The following is a 19,654-nucleotide window of genomic DNA, read 5'->3' on the forward strand; positions in this document are numbered from 1 at the left end:
TCATCTGGCCCCTTTACTGAATGCAACTCATATCACTCTCCACTTCCTTCTCTAGTTTTTTTTTGTTTGCTTTGGTTTTTTTGTTGTTGTTGTTTTTGTTTTGTTTTGTTTTGTTTTGTTTGAGACAGTCTTGCTCTGTCATCCAAGCTGGAGTGTAATCACGTGATCTCACTGCAACCTCTGTCATCTGGGCTCAAGCAATCCTCCTGCCTCAGCCTCCCAAGTGACTGGGAATCTCAGGTACATGTCACCATGGCGGGCTAATTTTTGTATTTTTTGTAGAGACAGGGTTTCATAATGTTGCCCAGGCTGATCTCAAACTCCTGAACTCAAGCAATCGGCCTGGCTTCCCAAAGTGCTGGGATTACAGGCATAGGCCAACATGCCCAGCCCTCCTCCTCTAGTTTACAGCCACACAGATCTTTCCGTTTCTCAAACACATCAAACTTGTTCTTGCCCTGGGGCTTTTACACAAACTCAGGTTAGAATGCCCTGTGCCTTGATGTATCCAACTCTTTTTTGTTATTAAGAGTTCGGCTTAGAGGCCGGGAGCGGTGGCTCACGCCTGTAATCCCAGCACTTTGGGAGGCCGAGGTGAGCGGATCAGGAGGTCAGGAGATCGAGACCATCCTGGCTAACACGGTGAAACCCCGTCTCCACTAAAAATACAAAAAATTAGCCCAGCGAGGTGGTGGGCGCCTGTAGTCCCAGCTACTCAGGAGGCTGAGGCAGGAGAATGGCACGAGCCCAGGAGGCGGAGCTTGCAGTGAGCCGAGACTGCGCCACTGCACTCCAGCCTGGGCGATAGAGCAAGACTCTGTCTCCCCCCCCCCCCAAAAAAAAAAAAGAGTTCAGCTTAACTTTCACCTCCTCAGAGAGCTACTCCTGAAATTCCAATCTCAAATTGCCACTCAGTCACGCTGTATTGCTCTATTTTAATTCTCTCCATAACAGTTATAACCATTTGATATATCTTGTTTATATATTTAAATTTCTGTCTCAACATATTAGACGTAAACCCCGTAAAAGAACAAGTACTTTATCACTTTGTTCATTGCAGTTAGGATAAATCTGTTTCACAGATGAAAAAAAAAAAGAAAAGAAAAAAAGAAAACATGCGCATGCGCCGTAGCTCTCCAGAACGGGAAGGCTGTACTGAGCCGGTCTCGGGAGACGAAGGATGGGATGTGAGGCGGTCCTGCCTTGCCGCCTTCTGTCCCTAGTCTCCGGGTCCCCGCCCTCCAGCCGCCTTTGATTCGTGACTGGGTCACGGTCCTCACTCATTCCTCAGAACCGCGAAGAAAGGAAGCTAGCGTGTTTGTTAGAAAACCTAGTTGGGAGTGCAAGGCAGAGAGCGTTCAGCACCCTTGTTCCTCCCGACCCCTCAGGACAGAAGCAGGGCTCTGGAGGGCAGGGATTCCCCCTCGTCTTGGCCCTACAGCCCCAGCTGGGCACTAAACTCGGGCCACGGCGGGGCGAGCGAGGCGGGCTCCGGAGGAAGCTGACGGCTGATGATGGCTCAGTCCAACATGCTCCCCGTGGCTGATGTGTTGAGTCAAAATGAACTGCGCAAAAAGCTATACCAGACATTTAAGGATCGGGGTATACTGGAAACACTCAAGATACAACTTCGAAACCAGCTAATTCATGAGTTAATGCACCCTGTATTGAGTGGAGAACTGCAACCTCAGTCCATTTCAGTGCAAGGGAGCTCCCTCTTAATAAGTGCCTCTAACTCTTTAGTGGCAGATCACTTACAAAGATGTGGCTGTGAATATTCACTTTCTGTTTTCTTTCTAGAAAGTGGTTTGGCAAAAGAAAAGGTATTTACTATGCAGGATCTATTACAACTCATTAAAATCAACCCTACTTCCAGTCTGTACAAATCACTGGTTTCAGGAGCTGATAAAGAAAACCAAAAAGGTTTTCTTATGCATTTTTTAAAAGGATTGGCAGAATATCATCAAGCTAAAGAAAGTTGTAATATGGAAACTCAGACAAGTTCGACATTTAGCAGAGATTCTCTGGCTGAGAAGCTTCAGCTTATTGATGATCAGTTTGCAGATGCTTACCCTCAGCGTATCAAGTTTGAGTCTTTAGAAATAAAGCTAAATGAATATAAGAGAGAAATAGAAGAGCAACTTCGGGAAGAAATATGTCAAAAGTTGAAGTTTTTTAAAGATACCGAAATAGGAAAAATTAAAATGGAAGCAAAAAAAAAGTATGAGAAGGAATTAGCCGTGTTCCAGAATGATTTTGAGAAAGCTTGTCAAGCAAAATCTGAAGCCCTTGTTATTCGGGAAAAGAGCACCCTTGAGAGAATTCAAAAGCACCAAGAGATTGAAACAAAAGAGATTTATGCTCAAAGGCAACTTTTACTAAAAGATATGGATTTGCTAAGAGGAAGAGAAGCAGAGCTGAAGCAAAGAGTTGAAGCTTTTGAACTGAACCAGAAGCTCCAGGAAGAAAAACATAAAAGTATGACTGAGGCACTTAGGAGACGGGAGCAGAATATAAAGAGTTTTGAGAAGACCTATGACCAAAAACTCAAGAATGAACTCCTAAAGTATCAACTTGAACTAAAGGACGACTACATCATTAGAACTAATCGACTGATTGAAGATGAAAGGAAGAATAAAGAAAAAGCTGTTCATTTGCAAGAGGAGCTCATAGCTTTTAATTCAAAAAAGGAGGAACTCAATCAATCTATAAATCGCATGAAAGAACTTGAGCTTGAATTAGAGTCTGTCAAAGCCCAGTCTTTGGCAATAACAAAACAAAACCATATGCTGAATGAAAAGGTTAAAGTGATGAGTGACTATTCACTACTAAAAGAAGAGAGACTGGAGCTTCTGGCACAAAATAAATTACTTAAACAACAACTGGAAGAGAGTAGAAATGAAAACTTGCGTCTCCTAAACCGCCTAGCTCAGCTGGCTCCTGAACTTGCGGTCTTTCAGAAAGAACTAAGGAGAGCAGAAAAGGCTACAGTGGTTGAGCATGAGGAGTTCGAAAGCCGCAAACAAGCTCTGCACAAACAACTGCAAGATGAAATTGAGCATACTACACAGTTGAAGGCCCAGATACTAGGTTACAAAGTTTCCATAAAGAGGTTAACTATTCAGGTTGCCGATTTAAAATCGCAATTGAAGCAAACTCAGACAGCCCTAGAGAATGAAGTGTACTGCAATCCAAAGCAGTCTGTGATCCATCATTCTGCCAATGGATTAATAAATGGCAACATGGTGCTTCACAATGGTGAGATAAGTGGGGATTTCTTGAACAATCCTTTTAAACAGGAAAAAGTTCTAGCAGGTACGGTTGCATCAAGGATCACAAATTATCCAAATGCAGGGATGGAGGGTAGTTCCCCTGATTCTGACCTTGAGTTTGTCGCCAATACTAATGCAAGGGTCAAACAGCTTCAGCAAGAGGCGGAACGCTTGGAAAAGGCTTTCAGAAGTTACCATCGGAGAGACATTAAAAACTCTGCCAAAGGCCCACTACCAGCAAAGAGCCCACCATCTCTGCACTTGCTGGAAGCCTTCAAAAACATTACTTCCAGTTCCCCGGAAAGACGTATTTTTGCAGAGGACAGAGTTGTCTCTGAGCAGCCTCAAGTGGGCACACTTAAAGAAGAAAGGAATGACATCTTGGAAGCCCTGACAGGCAGTGCAGCCTCAAGGCTATGCGGGGGCACTTCCTCCAGACGCCTCTCCTCCACACCCCTTCCAAAAGCAAAAAGAAGCCTTGAAAGTGAAATATATCTGGAAGGTCTGGGCAGATCACACATTGCTTCCCCCAGTCCTTATCCTGACAGAATGCCCCCGCCATCACCCGCTGAGTCTAGGCACAACCTCTCCATCCCTCCCTTCTCCAGCCCTCCGGAGCAGAAAGCGGGTCTTTACTGGAGACAAAATGAACTTCAAGACAAAAGTGAATTTTCAGATGCGGACAAGCTAGCTTTTAAGGATAACGAGGAATTTGAATCATCTTTTGAATATGCACGGAATGTGCCAAGGCAGTTTGAAATGGATGGGCCCTCTCCTGCCGGGGATATGCTTCATATGGGCGCAGCTGTAGCTGCTGTGCCCCTCTCATATCAGCACCCAAGTGTAGATCAGAAACAAATTGAAGAACAAAAGGAAGAAGAAAAAATATGGGAACAGCAAGTGAAAGAACGAAAGCAGAGAGAAGAAAGAAGGCAGAGTAACCTACAAGAAATTTTAGAAAGGGAAAGAAGAGAACTAGAAAAACTGTATCAGGAAAGGAGGATGACTGAAGAATCACTGAAGATTGAAATGGAAAATGAATTAGAAATGAGTAATCAAGAAATGAAAGACAAATCTGCTCACAGTGAAAATCCTTTAGAGAAATACATGAAAATCATCCAGCAAGACCAGGAGTCGGCAGATAAGAGCTCAAAAAAGATGGTCCAGGAAGGCTCCCTAGTGGACACACTGCAATGTAGTGACAAAGTCGAAAGTTTAACACGCTTTTCTCATGAAGAACCAGATGACTCTTGGTAACCATGTTTGCTGCCCAGCTTCTAACTTACATACCATGAGAAATTACATAACATTTACTCCTTTGTAAATGTTTCTCTATCAACAGATAAAACTCTGAATAAAAATGTGTAATCCAAAAAAAAAAAAAAGAAAGAAACTACAAATGTTTTCGTATTATCAATTTCATGTGGTGCAAGCTAGTATATGTGCAGCACTAAGAATACTGTGTGGCAAATAGTAGGCACTTAATAAAAATTAGAATGAATGAATATCATAGAAATTTGTGTACCTGTTTATACTGAGAGCAGGGCAGTTATCTAGCACAGGATTAGATGCATTTTGACCATACTAATGAAAGTATTAAATTTAAAAAGTAAATGGTCCAAATAAAATAATAAAAGTAAATCATCCAAATAACATTAAATACTGAATTAGCAGGCTCAATATTTATTAAATCTCTACATTTTGACATAAATGAAGGTGGCAGCTCTTTCACTTTAAAAATTGAAACTTCAGCTGGGCACACCTATAGTCCCTGCTACTTGGGAGGCTGAGGTGGTTAAGATCATTTGGCCGGGCACGTGGCGCACGCCTATAATCCCAGCAGGGAGGCCAAGGCAGGTGGATCACCTGAGGTCAGGAGTTCGAGACCAGCCTGACTAACGTGGTGAAACCCTGTCTCTACTAAATACAAAAAATTAGCCAGGTGTGGTGGCATATGCCGATAATCCCAGCTACTTGGGAGGTTGAGGCAGGAAAATTGCTTGAACCCAGGAGGTGGAGGTTGCAGTTAGCCAAGATCACACCATTGCACTCCACCCTGGGCAACAAGAGCGAAACTCAGTCTCAAAAAAAAGAAAAGATTGTTTGAGGCCAGGAGTTCAAAAACAGTCTGAGCAATATAGCAAAATTCCATCTCTAAAAAGAAATAATTAATAAATTAAAATTTAAAACTAAAAACTTTATAAAGATCAACTTGTCCCAATTTTGTGATTTTAAAAAGCCATGTTCAGTAAAAACGAATCTAAGCCATTACTTTTCTCAGATTCTATTCATTCATAGTCATAAATCACCTCCTATGTTTCAGATACTATGCTAGAACAGTATCATTGAGTAATGGCCTCTGTATAATATGTTTTAAATATTATATTATGTGCAATGCAAAAAAAGTTTAAAAAGGATTTGTTTACTACATTACCTGTTTTAATATGAAGTGGGGGAAGAACATTCACATGATGAGGGGGCAAAATGCAAAGCTGCTGATTGGTGAAATAGGCAGCCATGAAACGAGCCATGGACTGGACGACTCTCACTGCTGCCTCAGGATGAACACCGCCCACCATTCCACACTCAAAATGAGACTTTGCAGCACCTAAGGAATACAGCAATGACCTAAGAAGATTGTGATCAACTACCAAAAGTAATAATATTTAAGTTCCCAACATTATACAAAAAGAAAATTGCAATACCTTTTTTTCTGAGATAAGCACCCATGGCCAATACAAGCTGAATTATAATAGGTACCGTACTTCTTAAAGACAATAAAACCAGAAACAATTACAATTGACCCTTGAACTTCACGGGTTTGAACTGCATAAATCCACTTATATATACAGATTTTTTTTCCATAAATGTACTAGAAAATGTTTTGGAGATTTGTGACAATTTGAAAAAATTTGTAGGCATACCACATAACCTAGAAATATCAATAAAAAAAGAAAAAGGTATGTCATCAATATAAAAAATATATGTAAATAATTATTTTATCATTTAGTACCATAAAATACATATAAACTATAAAAAGTTAAAATTTATCAAAATTGGCTGGGTACAGTGGCTTACACCTATAATCCCAGCACTTTGGAAGGCCAAGGTGGGCTGATCTCTTGAGCTCAGGAGTTTGAGACCAGCCTGGGCAACATGGTGAAATCCCACCTCTACAGAAAAATACAATAAAAAGAAACATTAGCTGGGCATGGTTGTGCGCACCTATAGTCCCAGCTATTCAGGGTGCTGAGGTAGGAGGATCGCTTGAGTCTAGGAGGCGGAGGCTGCAGTAAGCTGAGATTGTGCCAGTGCACTCCAGCCTGGGCAACAGAGCTAGATAGACCCTGACTCAAAAAAAAATTATCAAAATTTACACAAACACTTACAGGCCATATATGGCACTGTTCACAGTCAAGAGAAATGTAAACACACATAAAGATAAAGTATTAAATAACTGCATAAAATTCATTGTAGTTCCTACTGTACTACTGTATTAATTTTGCAGCTACTTCCTGTTGCTATTTTGAGGAGTTCAAGTGTTGCAAGTATTTGCTTAAAATACTGTGTGATGCTAATCATCTCTGCATGAGCAGTTCATCTCTCTAGTAAAGTGCACATGGCAATAAAAAGCAACCTCACAATTCTTGTGTAGTTCTCATCACGTTTAGTGCAGTACCATAAACCTTGAATAACACCATAAGACCTACAGGAAGTGCCACCAGAGATCCTGGAAGTGTTCTGAATAAGCAGAAAAAAATCATGACATTACAAGTAAAAGTTGAATTACTTGAGACATACCATGGATTGAGGTCTGCAGCTATGGTTGTCTACCATTTCAGACAATTAATCTTGGAAACAGATAACATAAACTTGTGGTATCAATAAATACAGTACAATACTGGAAATGTATTTTCCCTTATGATTTTTTTTTCTCTTTTTGAGACAGAGTTTCACTTTTATTGCCCAGGCTGGAGTGCAATGGTGCGATCTCAGCTCACCACAAACCTCGCCTTCTGGGTTCAAGTGATTCTCCTGCCTCAGCCTCCTGAGTAGCTGGGATTATAGGCACGTGCCACCACGCCCGGCTAATTTTGTATTTTTAGTAGAGACCAGTTTTCTCCATGTTGGTCAGACTGGTCTCGAACTCTTGACCTCAGGTGATCTGCCCGCCTCGGCCTCCCAAAGTGCTGGGATTACAGACATGAGCCACTGTACCTGGCCTCTTAGGATTTTCTTAATACAACTTTCCTTTCTCTGGCTTACTTTATTCTAAGAATACAGTATATAATATATACAACATATAAAATATATGTTAATCAACTATTTATGTTACCAGTAAGGCTTCTAGTCAACAGTAGGCTATTAATGGTTAAGTTTTTCGGGAGTCAAGTTATACACGAATTTTTGACAGCATGAGGGTGTTGGTGCTCCTAACCCCTGTGATGTTCAATGGTCAACTGTAGTTAGTAATTATGTGCACATACACCTAAGAACTGTTCACAACTTTAAGTTTTATTTTTTAAATGGAGGTATCTATACAAAATGACCCAGGCACGACAGCCTTGCAAGCTTAGAATTTCATTATTTATTTCCCGTTTTTCCTTCTCTTTCCTTTTTTTTTTTTTTTTTTTTTTTTGAAGATAAACGGGGCAGGGCTTACTACAAAAATAATCTAAAAAGCACTGATATAAGATTTTTTTCTTTTTTTCTTTTTTGTTTTTTGAGAAAGAATCCTGCTCTGTCACCCAAGCTAGAGTGCAGTGGCACATTCTCAGCTCACTGCAACCTCTGCCTCCAAGGTTTAGGCCATCTTCCCGCCTCAGTCTCCTGAGTAGCTGGGACTATAGGCACACGCCACCTTGACCGGCTAATTTTTTTTGTATTTTTTTGGTCAAGATGGGGTTTCGCCATGTTGGACAGGCTGGTCTTGAACTCCTGAGCTCAAGTAATCGGTCCGCCTCAGCCTCCCAAAATGCTGGGATTACAGGTGTGAGCCACCATGACCACCCAAGATTCTTAATGCTTTTGTCTGTACCATTAGATCTGAGAATCTTAATATACTCCCATTAGTAATAGTAGCTCACTAGTATAAGATTTTGGGGGGCAGGCAGTAGCAAAAAGAACGTGTGGGGTGGGCCAGGCACAGAGGCTCATGCCTGTAATCCCCACACTTTGGGAGGCCCAGGATGGAGGATCACTTGAGTCCGTCCAGGAGTTTGATACCAGCCTGGGCAACATGGAGAAACCCCATCACTGCAAAAAAATACAAAAATTAGCCAGGTGTGGTGGCATGTGCCTATAGTCCCAGCTACTCAGGAGGCTGAGGCAGGAGGATCACTTGAGCCTGGGAGGTTGAAGCTGCAGTGAGCTGTGATCACGCCACTGCACTCCAGCCTAGGTGACAGAGTGAGGCCCTATCTCAAACACACGCACACAAATGTGTGGAGTGAAGGGAGATGGCTAGATAGCAGGTGGACAGAAGAATCACATCAAAATTTCTGGCATAACTCCAAAGTGCACTAGCAGGATTAGAGGACATGCGTCATTCCCACTTGAGAATCTCAATAATAATATAAGCTGGCATTCACAAATTTGAAAATAAATTAGCTTAAAACTACTAAATACTGTATAGATAAATACTAGGATAACATTAGTTGGTATGAAGTGTATGGCTCCAACAATAGAAAGGTATCTTTCTTTTCCAGAAGTGATCTGACACATATTCATGGGAAATTACATTTTATATGTGTATGGATTTCTATCTTGTTCACTGTATGTCCCAGCACCTAGCACTTCTCCTCTCATATAGTAGGCCCTCAAAGGAATATTGTTAATAAAGAAAATAATGTTAATTAATGTTACCTGGTTTCTTTTTTTAAACAAAAGGAATTGAGAAAATTTTATTAGCCTTCAAGCAGTAGTCTTCATTTAGTCACTGTAATATTTGGGGGGAAAAACCACACTATTTCTTCACATTCGAGTTAGAGATACCTGGGTAAAAATTTTTTTCTCCTGGGTAAAACTTATGGAGGAATTATACAAAGGTAAGATTTTCAGTAATCTTAATCATTCAAACCTTATGCAAAACTCAGGAATCAGCCTCTTAAATAGGGAGTGACCTGATGATAAAAGTTATTGTCACAGAATAAAGCTGTATCAATTTAGAAGTTAAAAAAATTTTCAAAGTGTAAATCTCGACCGGGTGCAGTGGCTCATGCCTGTAATCCCAGCACTTTGGGAGGCCAAGGCAGGTGGATCACCTGAGGTCAGGAGTTAGAGACCAGCCTGGCCAATATGGTGAAACCCCGTCTCTACTAAAAATACAAAAAATTAGCTGGGCATGGTGGTGCACGCTTGTAATCCCAGCTACTAGTGAGGCTGAGGCAGGAGAATCACTTTAACCCAGGAGGCCGAAGTTGCAGTGAGCCGAGACTGCGCCATTGCACTCCAGCCTGGGCGACAGAGCGAGACACCATCTCAAATAAATAAATAAATAAATAAATAAATAAATAAAAATAAAGTGTAATTCTGTATAGGGTGCAGTGCTAATGTTAATAACAGAAACCCGGCTGGGCGAAGTGGCTCATGCCTGTAATCCTAGCACTTTGGGAGGCCGAGGGGGGAGGATCACCTGAGGTCAGGAGTTCGATACCAGCCTGGCCAACATGGTGAAACTCTGTCTCTACTAAAAATAGAAAAAAAATTAGCCAGGTGTGGTGGCAGGAGCCTGTAATCCCAGCTACTCAGGAGGCTGAGGCAGGAGAATTGCTTGAACCCGGGAGGCAGAGGTTGCAATGAGCCGAGATCGTGCCTCTGCATTCCAGCCTGGTGACAAGAGCGAGACTCCATCTCAAAAAAATAAAAATAAAAATAAAAATAATAGAAACCCTATTTAATAAAAATTAAATAACTATAGACAATTATTTAATAAGGTAGGTGTGCAGAAAGGAACTACCATAGCATGCATGACTGCTTGAAATGCTTGCTTGTAAGGTGGTCCTTGGCTGGTATCTGGGAACTTGGATTTTGGGAGGATTTCCACCACCCTAACTGATAAGAAGAGCTCACTGAACCTAAACTGTATAAACAATGTGGTTTACGCTGAACATCTGTTTTCCCTCTGAGAGTGTAGAATTTTGGTTTGTACTAAGGCAGAAGGGGTTTATGTGACCAGCCCCCCAATTAAAAACCCTGAGCACTGAGGTTCTAATGAACTTCCCTGGTAGACTATATCTCACATGTTGTCACAACTTGTCACTGAGGAAACTAGGGACATCCTGTGTGACTCTACTGGGAGAGGATTCATAGAAGCTTATTCCTGGTTTTCTCCAAACTTCATACCATGCACCTTTTCCCTTTGCTGATTTTGCTGTTTTCTTTCACTGTAATAAATCATAGCTATGAGTACAACTATATGTTAAATCTTCTGAGTTTTCCTAGTGAACCATCAAATCTAGGGGGTAATTTTGGGGTCCCCAACCCAGTAAGTATATGCTTAATATATTTTAAGCAATCATCATTAAAAATTAAGACAAATGAGCTGGGCGCGGTGGCTCACGCTTGTAATCCCAGCACTTTGAGAGGCTGAGGTGAGTGGATCACCTGAGGTCGGGAGTTCAAGAACAGCCTGGCCAATGTGGTGAAACCCCGTCTCTACTAAAAATACAAAAATTAGCTAGGCATGGTGGCAGGCGCCTGTAATCCCAGCTACTCGGGAGGCTGAGGCAGGAAAACTGCTTGAAACTGGGAGGCGAAGGTTGCAGTGAGCTGAGATAGTGCCATTGCACACTAGCCTGTGCCACAAGAGCGAAACTCCATCTCAAAAAAAAAAAAAAATTAAAACAAATGAATTACTACAGGTTCAACTTATCATGAAAGTTAAATCACGTAAGGACAATATTGCAAAAATAAACAAATAAATAAAGACTATCCTGTCATTTAAAAAGTCATATACAGAAGTCTTTCACCCTGGGTACAGTGGCTCACACCTATAACCCCAGCATTTTGAGAGGCTGAGGTGTGAAGATCACTTGAACCCAGGAGTTTGAGATCAGCCTGCGCAATATACCAAGACTCATCTCTACAAATAATAAAATAATTTTTAAAAATTAGCCACGCATGGCTGGGCACAGTGGCTCACGCCTGTAATCCCAGCACTTTGAGAGGCCAAGGTGTGTGGATCACGAGGTCAGGAGTTTGAGACCAGCCTGACCAACATGGTGAAACCCCATCTCTACTAAAAATACAAAAGTCAGCCAGGCATGGTGGCGCATGCCTGTAATCCCAGCTACTCAGGAGGCTGAGGCAGGAGAATCGCTTGAACCCAGGAGGCAAAGGTTGCAGTAAGCCAAGATCACGCCACTACACTCCAGCCTGGGTGACAGAGCAAGACTCCATCTCAAAAAAAAAGAAAAAAAAAATTAGCCAGGCGTGAGGCACATGCCTGTGGTTCCAGCTACCTCATTTCCCAGCAGACTCATTTCTCGGAATTTATCTTAGAGAAATTATTAGTAATGCTCACAAATATTTAGGTACACTGCAGCATTATTTAAAATAGTAAATACATGGCAACAAAATGTACAATAATGGGAAAAAGATTCAATAGATTTTTTTAAGTTTATTGGCACTGGAAAATATTCATCATAATTTTAAATTTATAAGACTATCCAGCTCCGGTAATATATACATATACATGTGTCAAAAGGCCCTAGACAAAAAAAAACTAAACTTGTAAGTGATTTTGTTTCCTTTCTACTTTTCTGTATTTTCAAAATTGCCTAATATGAACACGTATTACTTCCTTAATGAACATAAAAATTTAAAAAGATAAAAATCAGAAAGTAAGCCAAGCACAGTGGCTCACACCTATAATCCCAACACTTTGGGAGGCCAAGGTGGGTGGATTGCTTGAGCCCAGGAAGTCAAGATCAGCCTGGGCAGCATGGTGAAATCCCATCTCTACAAAAAAAACAAAATTAGCTGGGTGTGGTGGCACACACCTGTAGTCCCAGCTACTCACGAGGCTGAGGTGGAAGGATGGCTTGAGCCCAGGCGCCAGAGGTCAGATAAGCTAAGATCACTCAACCACACTCCAGCCTCGGCAACAGAATAAGACCATATCTCAAAAAAAAAAAAAACTCACAAAATAAGACATTTATAAACAGTGGCTGAAACAATCAAGAATGAAATTGCTATCAACTCTGTTTAGAAATTTCAAATACATTGGGCCTTTCAGACACATTCGTATATACAGTAAACATCTAGCAGTCTACCACCCTATAAGCATTATAAATATATTACATGTTCATTCATATATATCTTTCCCTCTGGTTATTGCCTAATTTAAATATACCTCTTTGAAAAAGTCAATCCAGATACTCTGCAATCTCTTAAACAGATTTTTTTTTTTTTAATTTGAGATGGAGTCTGGCTCTGTCACCCAGGCTAGAGTGCAGTGGCGCTACCTTGGCTCGCTCACTGCAAGCTCCACCTCCCAGGTTCATGCCATTCTCCTGCCTCAGAGCTGGGCCTACAGGTGCCCGCCACCAAGCCTGGCTGATTTTTTTGTATTTTTAGTAGAGAAGGGGTTTCACCATGTTAGCCAGGATCGTCTCATCTCCTGACCTTGTGATCCACCTGCCTTGGCCTCCCAGAGTGCTGGGATTACAGGCGTGAGCCACTGTGCCCGGCCCAGATTTTTTAAAAGACTAAAAATATTCTCGGAAAATGATTTTTATGATTTCACTAAACTGCTGTAAGCAATAGTTAACATACTAAGGAAAAAACACTTGGGTCCTAAAATTATGTCTAACAAATAGGGTTGTAAGAAAGCAATCATACTATCAGCTCAGCAGGCAATTACTATACTGTTAAATCCTGGGGATTCTAAGATTTAAAAACAAACAAACAAAAAACTTCAACATAGTCCCTGCTATTGGGAAGCTGAGAGTCCAAAATCCAACATAATATACTTAATCACCAGAGAGGTAGAACAACCAACTTTTATGTATAAGCAATTTCATGTCTACACTAAAAATACAAACTAACAAGTAAACATACTGCATTCTGTAGTCCTAGCCACTTGAGGCGGCTGAGGTAGAAGGATTACTTGAGCTCAGGGGTTTGAAGCCAGGCTGGCAACATAGGGAGACCCTGTCTCTTTTTAAAAATACAAAGAAAGAAAAAAAAAAGCATACCTGAAAAATCTTTATTTTCTTTTACAGGTAGTTGGGACCATCTCAGGATTTCTCTTGCTAGCTGATCACACAATCCTTGAGCATCATTTAAATTATAGCTATAGAGGTGGCAGTATAAGAGAGAAAGATAATAGCGTATCTGAAGAAAATACGTCCTTCTTCCTCCTGAAACAAGAAGTAAGCTCACCTTAAAAGTATGTAAGCAAAGGAATGCCCTTGGTGTAGTGCTCAATTGACGGGAGTGTGTAGTTTGTGAAAATTCATCAAGTTGTACACTCATGATATGTAAACTTTTCTGCATCTGTTTCACACTTCAATAAATGATTTTTTTCACAGGTGATCTGGGTACATTACATCCCCAAATAAAATTGGAATTATTTTACTCAGAAAGAATGGATAAGAGGTAGGCAACCAGCAGTTTCAGTCTTCAGATATGTAAAGGCAGTTGTCAGGGGCTCCTATCTTATATTTTTTTAGCATACTTTGCTCTTTTTCATTTTAAATTCTAAACAATTTATTTTCTTTCATCACACCCTAGGATGACTTAGATTTTATCCAAAGAAAGCTGCAAATTCTTATCATCTTAACATTAAGGTCTACTAATAACTTTTATCTCAAGTATACACAGTATGAAACAAAAGGGAACATGCCACAAAAAACTCCAAGGAACCATATGTATATCAAAGGGATGGCCAAAGAGACTTACTGAAGCAGAAGAAACAGTTATCCAATAAGATAGGAGCCCCTGACAACTGCCTTTACGTATCTGAAGAATGAAACTGCTGGTTGCCTACCTCTTATCCATTCTTTCTGAGTAAAATAATACCAATCTTATTTGGGGATATAATGCACCCAGATCACAATTTCTCCCTAGATGTGGCCATGTAAAAATGTGACTATGTTCTGATTCAAGAGATAACATTGTATGCAATTTCCAGAAAAGCTGCTTAAAGAAAGGTAAATCAGCTAGGAAATGCAACCTTTCTAGCTCTTCCAACCTTTGTCCTATTTGCTGCCTAGAGCATGGATGTGATAGCTGAAGGTCCAGGAACCATCTTAGCTTAGGTAATGGCCTTAAGATTGGAAGCAATGCACTAAAGATGATGCAGCAGAAAAACTAAAGGAGCCTGGGGCCTTGGTGATACCATGGAAACACCAAATCAGCCCCAAACTGCAACTTCTGCCCTCCTTTCACAAAGGAAAGCCACTCTTTCTCTGTTGAAGCCACTGCTACTTTCAATCTCCATTACTAGAAGCCATTCCTAATGGATGTAGTTGTAAATGAAATTAAACAAAATGTCCATAATGGAACTCATTACAAAAACTTTTCTATACCCAGAACTTCAGATCTCAGTGAATGCTGCTCTTTTCATCCAGATGGACAATCCCCAAGTCAGAGAACTACACTAGCCTTCTTTCTCCAAATCTACTCAATCACAAGTAGACTGATCAAGCCTATTAAATAACTGTCAAATGTAACCTCTGTTCTCCATTACCCTTGACATTGCTTTGGTTTCAAGGCTTCTCGTCTGACTGATTTTCTTGCCTCCAAGTAAAACCCACGCCCCTATGTCATAGTCCTGCAACTGGCCTTCCACAACTGTACCAAAGTGATCTTTCTAAACAGCCTATTCTTATTTGTACAAGTCCCTTTCCTACCTAAAGTGTCTTAACTGATTCCACTGTCTTCAAGATAAAATCTTAATTCCTTACCACTCCATTAAAGACCCTCCTTCATCATCTGTTGTCCATCTGCCTCTCAACTTAGCTCTTATGATCCTACCGCCAATATCACATATACATATATCACATAATCTAGTCCTACTAAACTACTTGAAGTTTACCAAATTGCCATGGTTTCTCAGGCCTTTTTGGTTTTGGAACACTATATACTCTGTTAAGTCATTCCCATGACCTTAATTGGCCAATCTCTACTCAATTTTAAATGTCAACTCCAAGAGGCTTTCCCCAGACTGATGCTTGCACTCCAGCCTGATTGTATTGAGGTGTTCTTCTGTGCTCCCTAAACATCTACCATAAAACATAATGAGAAAAGTGACTGTAGGCAACTTGAAGGTAAAGTTGTTTATTTCAGTTATCCCTAGTGCCTAATACAGTGCTGGGCACATAGCAGGCACTCAACAAAGACTGGTTAAGTAAATGAATTAATGAAATATACAAAGCCACAGCAGTCAGAAAATAAATGTAATAATAGACCAAATCTGACCACGTAGGAGTTGCAGTCAGGGTTCCAGGGTCACCAGCTGAGAACCTCTGTCATCTCAGCCATACCCTCAGCTCTGTATCATAAAAGCTATAACTTGTTTCTAACATCCACACCCCATATCCTTATCAAAAACTCCTCGAAGCCCATACTTAATGCAATGATACGTTTAACTTACATACAATTCTTAAAGTTAAATTACTTAAAGGCAAAAAGCCCTCGCTCCATGTTTCTCTAAGTCTGTAAGAAGGTGGTGAAATATATGACCTATAGTTTCCTATTGAGATACTTGCAGTCTCTCTAAATGACAAAAAAAAAACCACATTATTTTATTTAGGATCTAAATCTCATTTTTCCCATCAACAATCAACCACAGGCTTTATCACAAATCAAAGAAAGGACAGAAGGAGACTTATCTACAGATCACTGAAAAGATTTTTAGTGTTACCAATTCCAAGGTTAAGAATAATTTTAAATAAGTATTCATGAGTGTCAAGTTGCCTACAACATGTATTCTATTTGGCATTAGGATATCATAAGCACTCTGAAATTTAGAATTATTTTTAAGGTCTATGGCAAGCTAAAAGATGTCCTGCTAATATAATGGCACATATTTTTTGGAATTTAGAATTACTGTTAAGGTCTACAGCAAGCTAAAAGGAGTCCTGCTAATATTATGGCACATATTTTTTAACACTCTCTTACCTTTCTCTTCGATTTCTTGTAGAGCTTTTTTCCACAGCTGAACAGACTTTTCATATGATCCTAATAAAAAACATTCTTCCCCTAGAAAGTTTTTAACCAACAATTAGTCATAGTTAATTATATTACTTCATAAAAATTTACTTTGTTTTAAAATCCAGTTAATGGAGCTCAGCCAGAAATTATTTTGAAAAACAAATCATTACAACCAATTAGAAATTCAAAGTCTGGTTAACTATGTCATTTATTCATGGAGTTAGAAAATATTCATAAGATACTGACCATTGATAGATTTAAGTTCTAAGGTTTGATTCAAGCAATCTCCAGTACTCTGTAGGTTAGCCTGCAAATGACATAACAGGGACTTGACAGTAGATGCTTCATGTGTCATCTTTTCAGTTAACTGACTATCAGCTTCAGGAACTCTTCGATTTAATTGTGCTTGATACCATAAAGTTTTTTTGTACAGTATTCTCCAGAGAATAAGCAATCTGCACATAAAATCAGGTAATTATCAAAAGCAAATTTCAGGCTAATGATGAGTTTAGCCTCCTTTTTAGCCTATTTTTTTTTTTGCCTGTATTCTTCATCGGTATAACATACATACAAACTGATCACATTTAAATATAGTGCAAAATAAAATGATTAAAAAATGCCTTATATAAAATCTTCATAAATATTTTAAGCACCTGTAATCTTTTTTTTTTTTTTTTTTTTAAGACACAAGGTCTCACTACGTTGCCCAGACTGATCTCAAACTCCTGGGCCCAAGCGATCACCCTACCTCAGCCTCCCGAACAGGTGAGATTACAGGTATGTGCCACTGCACTCCAGCCTGGGAGACAGGGTCTTGCTCTGTTGCCAGGCTGAATTGCAGTGGCTCCATCACAGCTTACTGTAGCCTCAACCTCCTGGGTTCAAGCAATCCTCCCATCTCAGCCTCCCGGGCTCAAGCAATCCTCCCATCTCAGCCTCCCAGGTAGCTGGGACCACAGGTGCACCACACTGTTTTTTTTTTCTTTTCAGGCAAGGTCTCCTCCTGTCGCCCATGCTGGAATGCAGTGGCGTGATATCTGCTCAACCTCTGCCTCCTGGACTCAAGCAATCCTCCCACCTCAGCCTCCTGGGTCGCTGGGATTACAGGCACATGCCAATAGGCCTGGCTAATTTTTTAGTTGCGGAGTTTCATCGTGTTGCCCAAGCTAGTCCTGGGGTCAAGTGATCCACCCACCTCAGCCTCCCAAAGTGCTCGATCACAGGCGTGAGCCACTGCGCCCAGCCTAATTTTTTAAAGAGGTCATTTTTTTAAGAGGTCATTTTGGCCGGGCGTGGTGGCTCACGCCTATAATCCCAACACTTTGGGAGGCTGAAGCGGGCGGATCACCTGAGGTCAGGAGTTCTAGATCAGCCTGGCCAACATGGTGAAACCCCGTCTCTACTAAAAATACAAAAATTAGCCAAGCGTGGTGGCAGGCGCCTGTAATCCCAGCTACTCGGGGGGCTGAGGCAGGAGAATCTACTTGAACCCAGGAGGCGGAGGTTGCAGTGAGCCGAGATTGCATCATCGCACTCCAGCCTGGGGGACAAGAGTGTACTCCATCTCAAAAAAAAAAAAAAAAAAAAAAAGAGGTCATTTTTTAACAGTACTTAACTAAACCAAAATCTTTCAAGATCATGGTTTTCCGAGACTAAGAAAATATGTATTGTACAACATTTGGCATAAATCTAACAATTTTTTTTGGCAAACTAAAAGTGTATACATTTATCACGTATAACATGACATATTTAACATGATGTTTTGAAACGTACTTAAATATTTTAAAAAATAAAATCTATAATGCTGAGTGCTAACAGATAAAAGATTTCTTTCTGGGGTGATAAAAACGTTCTGGAATTAGTGCTAATAGTTTCACAACCTTATAAATATACTAACAAACACTGAATAGTACATTTTAAAATGATGAATTTTACAATATGGGAATTGTAGCTCAGTTTCTAAAAAAGTAAAAAAAACTAAGCTAATAGTATCCCAGTATTAAAATAAGTGATTATACCTGTGTCCTGGCTGTTGCACAGGATTTACTACTTGAGGATGAATCTTGAAAAATGAGTTCCAAGACCAGTTTTTCTGAAAACCACTATCTTGAAACATCTGAAAAATAGGTACCACCAATGAGTCTTGAGCTGTTATTTTACTTCCATCAGCTGATGCTGAAATAACTTCAGGTTGAAGAATGTATACACCATTTAAATTGTCAGCTACCATTTTGAGTAAATAAAAACAAGCTAAAAGTTTCTCTGAGAATAACTGACCCTTTTGTTGCTGAGTCAGCAAAAGTTTTACAGTATTTGAGGTCAGCTTTATCAAATGCCCCACATCTTGTTTGTATCTTATATCCCAATAATGGATTGATAAACACTGATGAAAAAGTTGAAAGATACAAAGTATCCATGCATTATGTCTTGAGCTTTTGCTTAAAACAAGATCAAGTTTAGGAAAAGGACATTTTATAAATTGAAGAATGTAAAAAAAATGAGTGATACAAACTACTATGTAATTTAACATTAAATTTTTTTCTGTCACAGTTTTTGAAATTCCTATAGTCCACGCTGCAAGTAGACTTTTCTGGATAGAATGCAGTTCTGTAATGGTTCTATCTGTCTCCTCACTATCATCCTTTGCATGTATCGTATCAAACATAGATGCAAATTCCAATCTTCCTTCCTTCATACTACTACACAGCACATCATCTCTTTTGTTCCAAAAAGGACATAAGTTGTCTGGAAAGTGTCTGCCTTCGTTAGTTTCTTCTGCTTCAAAATCCTAAAACATGAGGGGAAAAAAATGATACTTAATACCATTTAATACCTTATCAATAGCATCACTTTGGCGTTCTTAAATTTCTCTTCCCTTTAACAAGAGAAAAACAGAATATGTTTCTTGGAATAAAGTCATAATTGTTCCAAGTAAATAAAATTCTGCTGCTAAGTACCTGAAAATCTGCTGCATTTTCATTTATTGTTTCTTCTGCCTGCAAGAATTTGGGGACAGTGAAATCGGCTGAACTTTCATTTCCTTGGTGTTCTAACAGGCTAGACCTTAGGGAATTCAGTGATCGCAAGTTCAGTCCTTTGCCTTTTGGCTAAAGAAGAAAAGATGAAAGATTTCCAAGAGCAAAATGTTATCTGTAATTCTATTATAAGCAATTAAAAATTCTATAGACAACTGTATACAATTCAAGGACATTATTGTCAGT

At 40.0% G+C, this 19,654-nt stretch overlaps 1 protein-coding gene and 1 pseudogene across 49 annotated transcripts in view, besides 1 other annotated feature; one reads left to right on the top strand and one right to left on the bottom strand.

Annotated features, from left to right (window-relative positions):
- Positions 1-19,654, bottom strand: part of CPLANE1 (ciliogenesis and planar polarity effector complex subunit 1) — a 173,708-nt gene that overhangs the window by 132,184 nt on the left and 21,870 nt on the right. For all 49 annotated transcript variants that reach the window (XM_047417575.1, XM_047417572.1, XM_047417573.1 and 46 more), the window contains 6 exons: positions 19,391-19,540; positions 18,452-19,221; positions 16,680-16,888; positions 16,401-16,481; positions 13,472-13,636; positions 5,707-5,880 (listed from right to left, as the gene is read on the bottom strand). In XM_047417575.1, the coding sequence (XP_047273531.1) occupies positions 5,707-5,880; positions 13,472-13,636; positions 16,401-16,481; positions 16,680-16,888; positions 18,452-19,221; positions 19,391-19,540 (1,549 nt within the window). The remainder of the gene's footprint in view (positions 1-5,706; positions 5,881-13,471; positions 13,637-16,400; positions 16,482-16,679; positions 16,889-18,451; positions 19,222-19,390; positions 19,541-19,654) is intronic.
- Positions 1,147-4,645, top strand: OFD1P17 (OFD1 pseudogene 17; annotated as a pseudogene).
- Positions 1,227-1,386: an enhancer, noted in NCBI's record as "active region_22485". NCBI's record gives its function as "activates an Ori minimal core promoter by ATAC-STARR-seq in GM12878 lymphoblastoid cells {active_cell/tissue: GM12878}" and the evidence as "EXISTENCE:reporter gene assay evidence [ECO:0000049][PMID:35858748]".

Source organism: Homo sapiens, chromosome 5 (genome assembly GCF_000001405.40).
Source record: "Homo sapiens chromosome 5, GRCh38.p14 Primary Assembly".
NCBI classification, from domain to species: domain Eukaryota; kingdom Metazoa; phylum Chordata; class Mammalia; order Primates; family Hominidae; genus Homo; species Homo sapiens.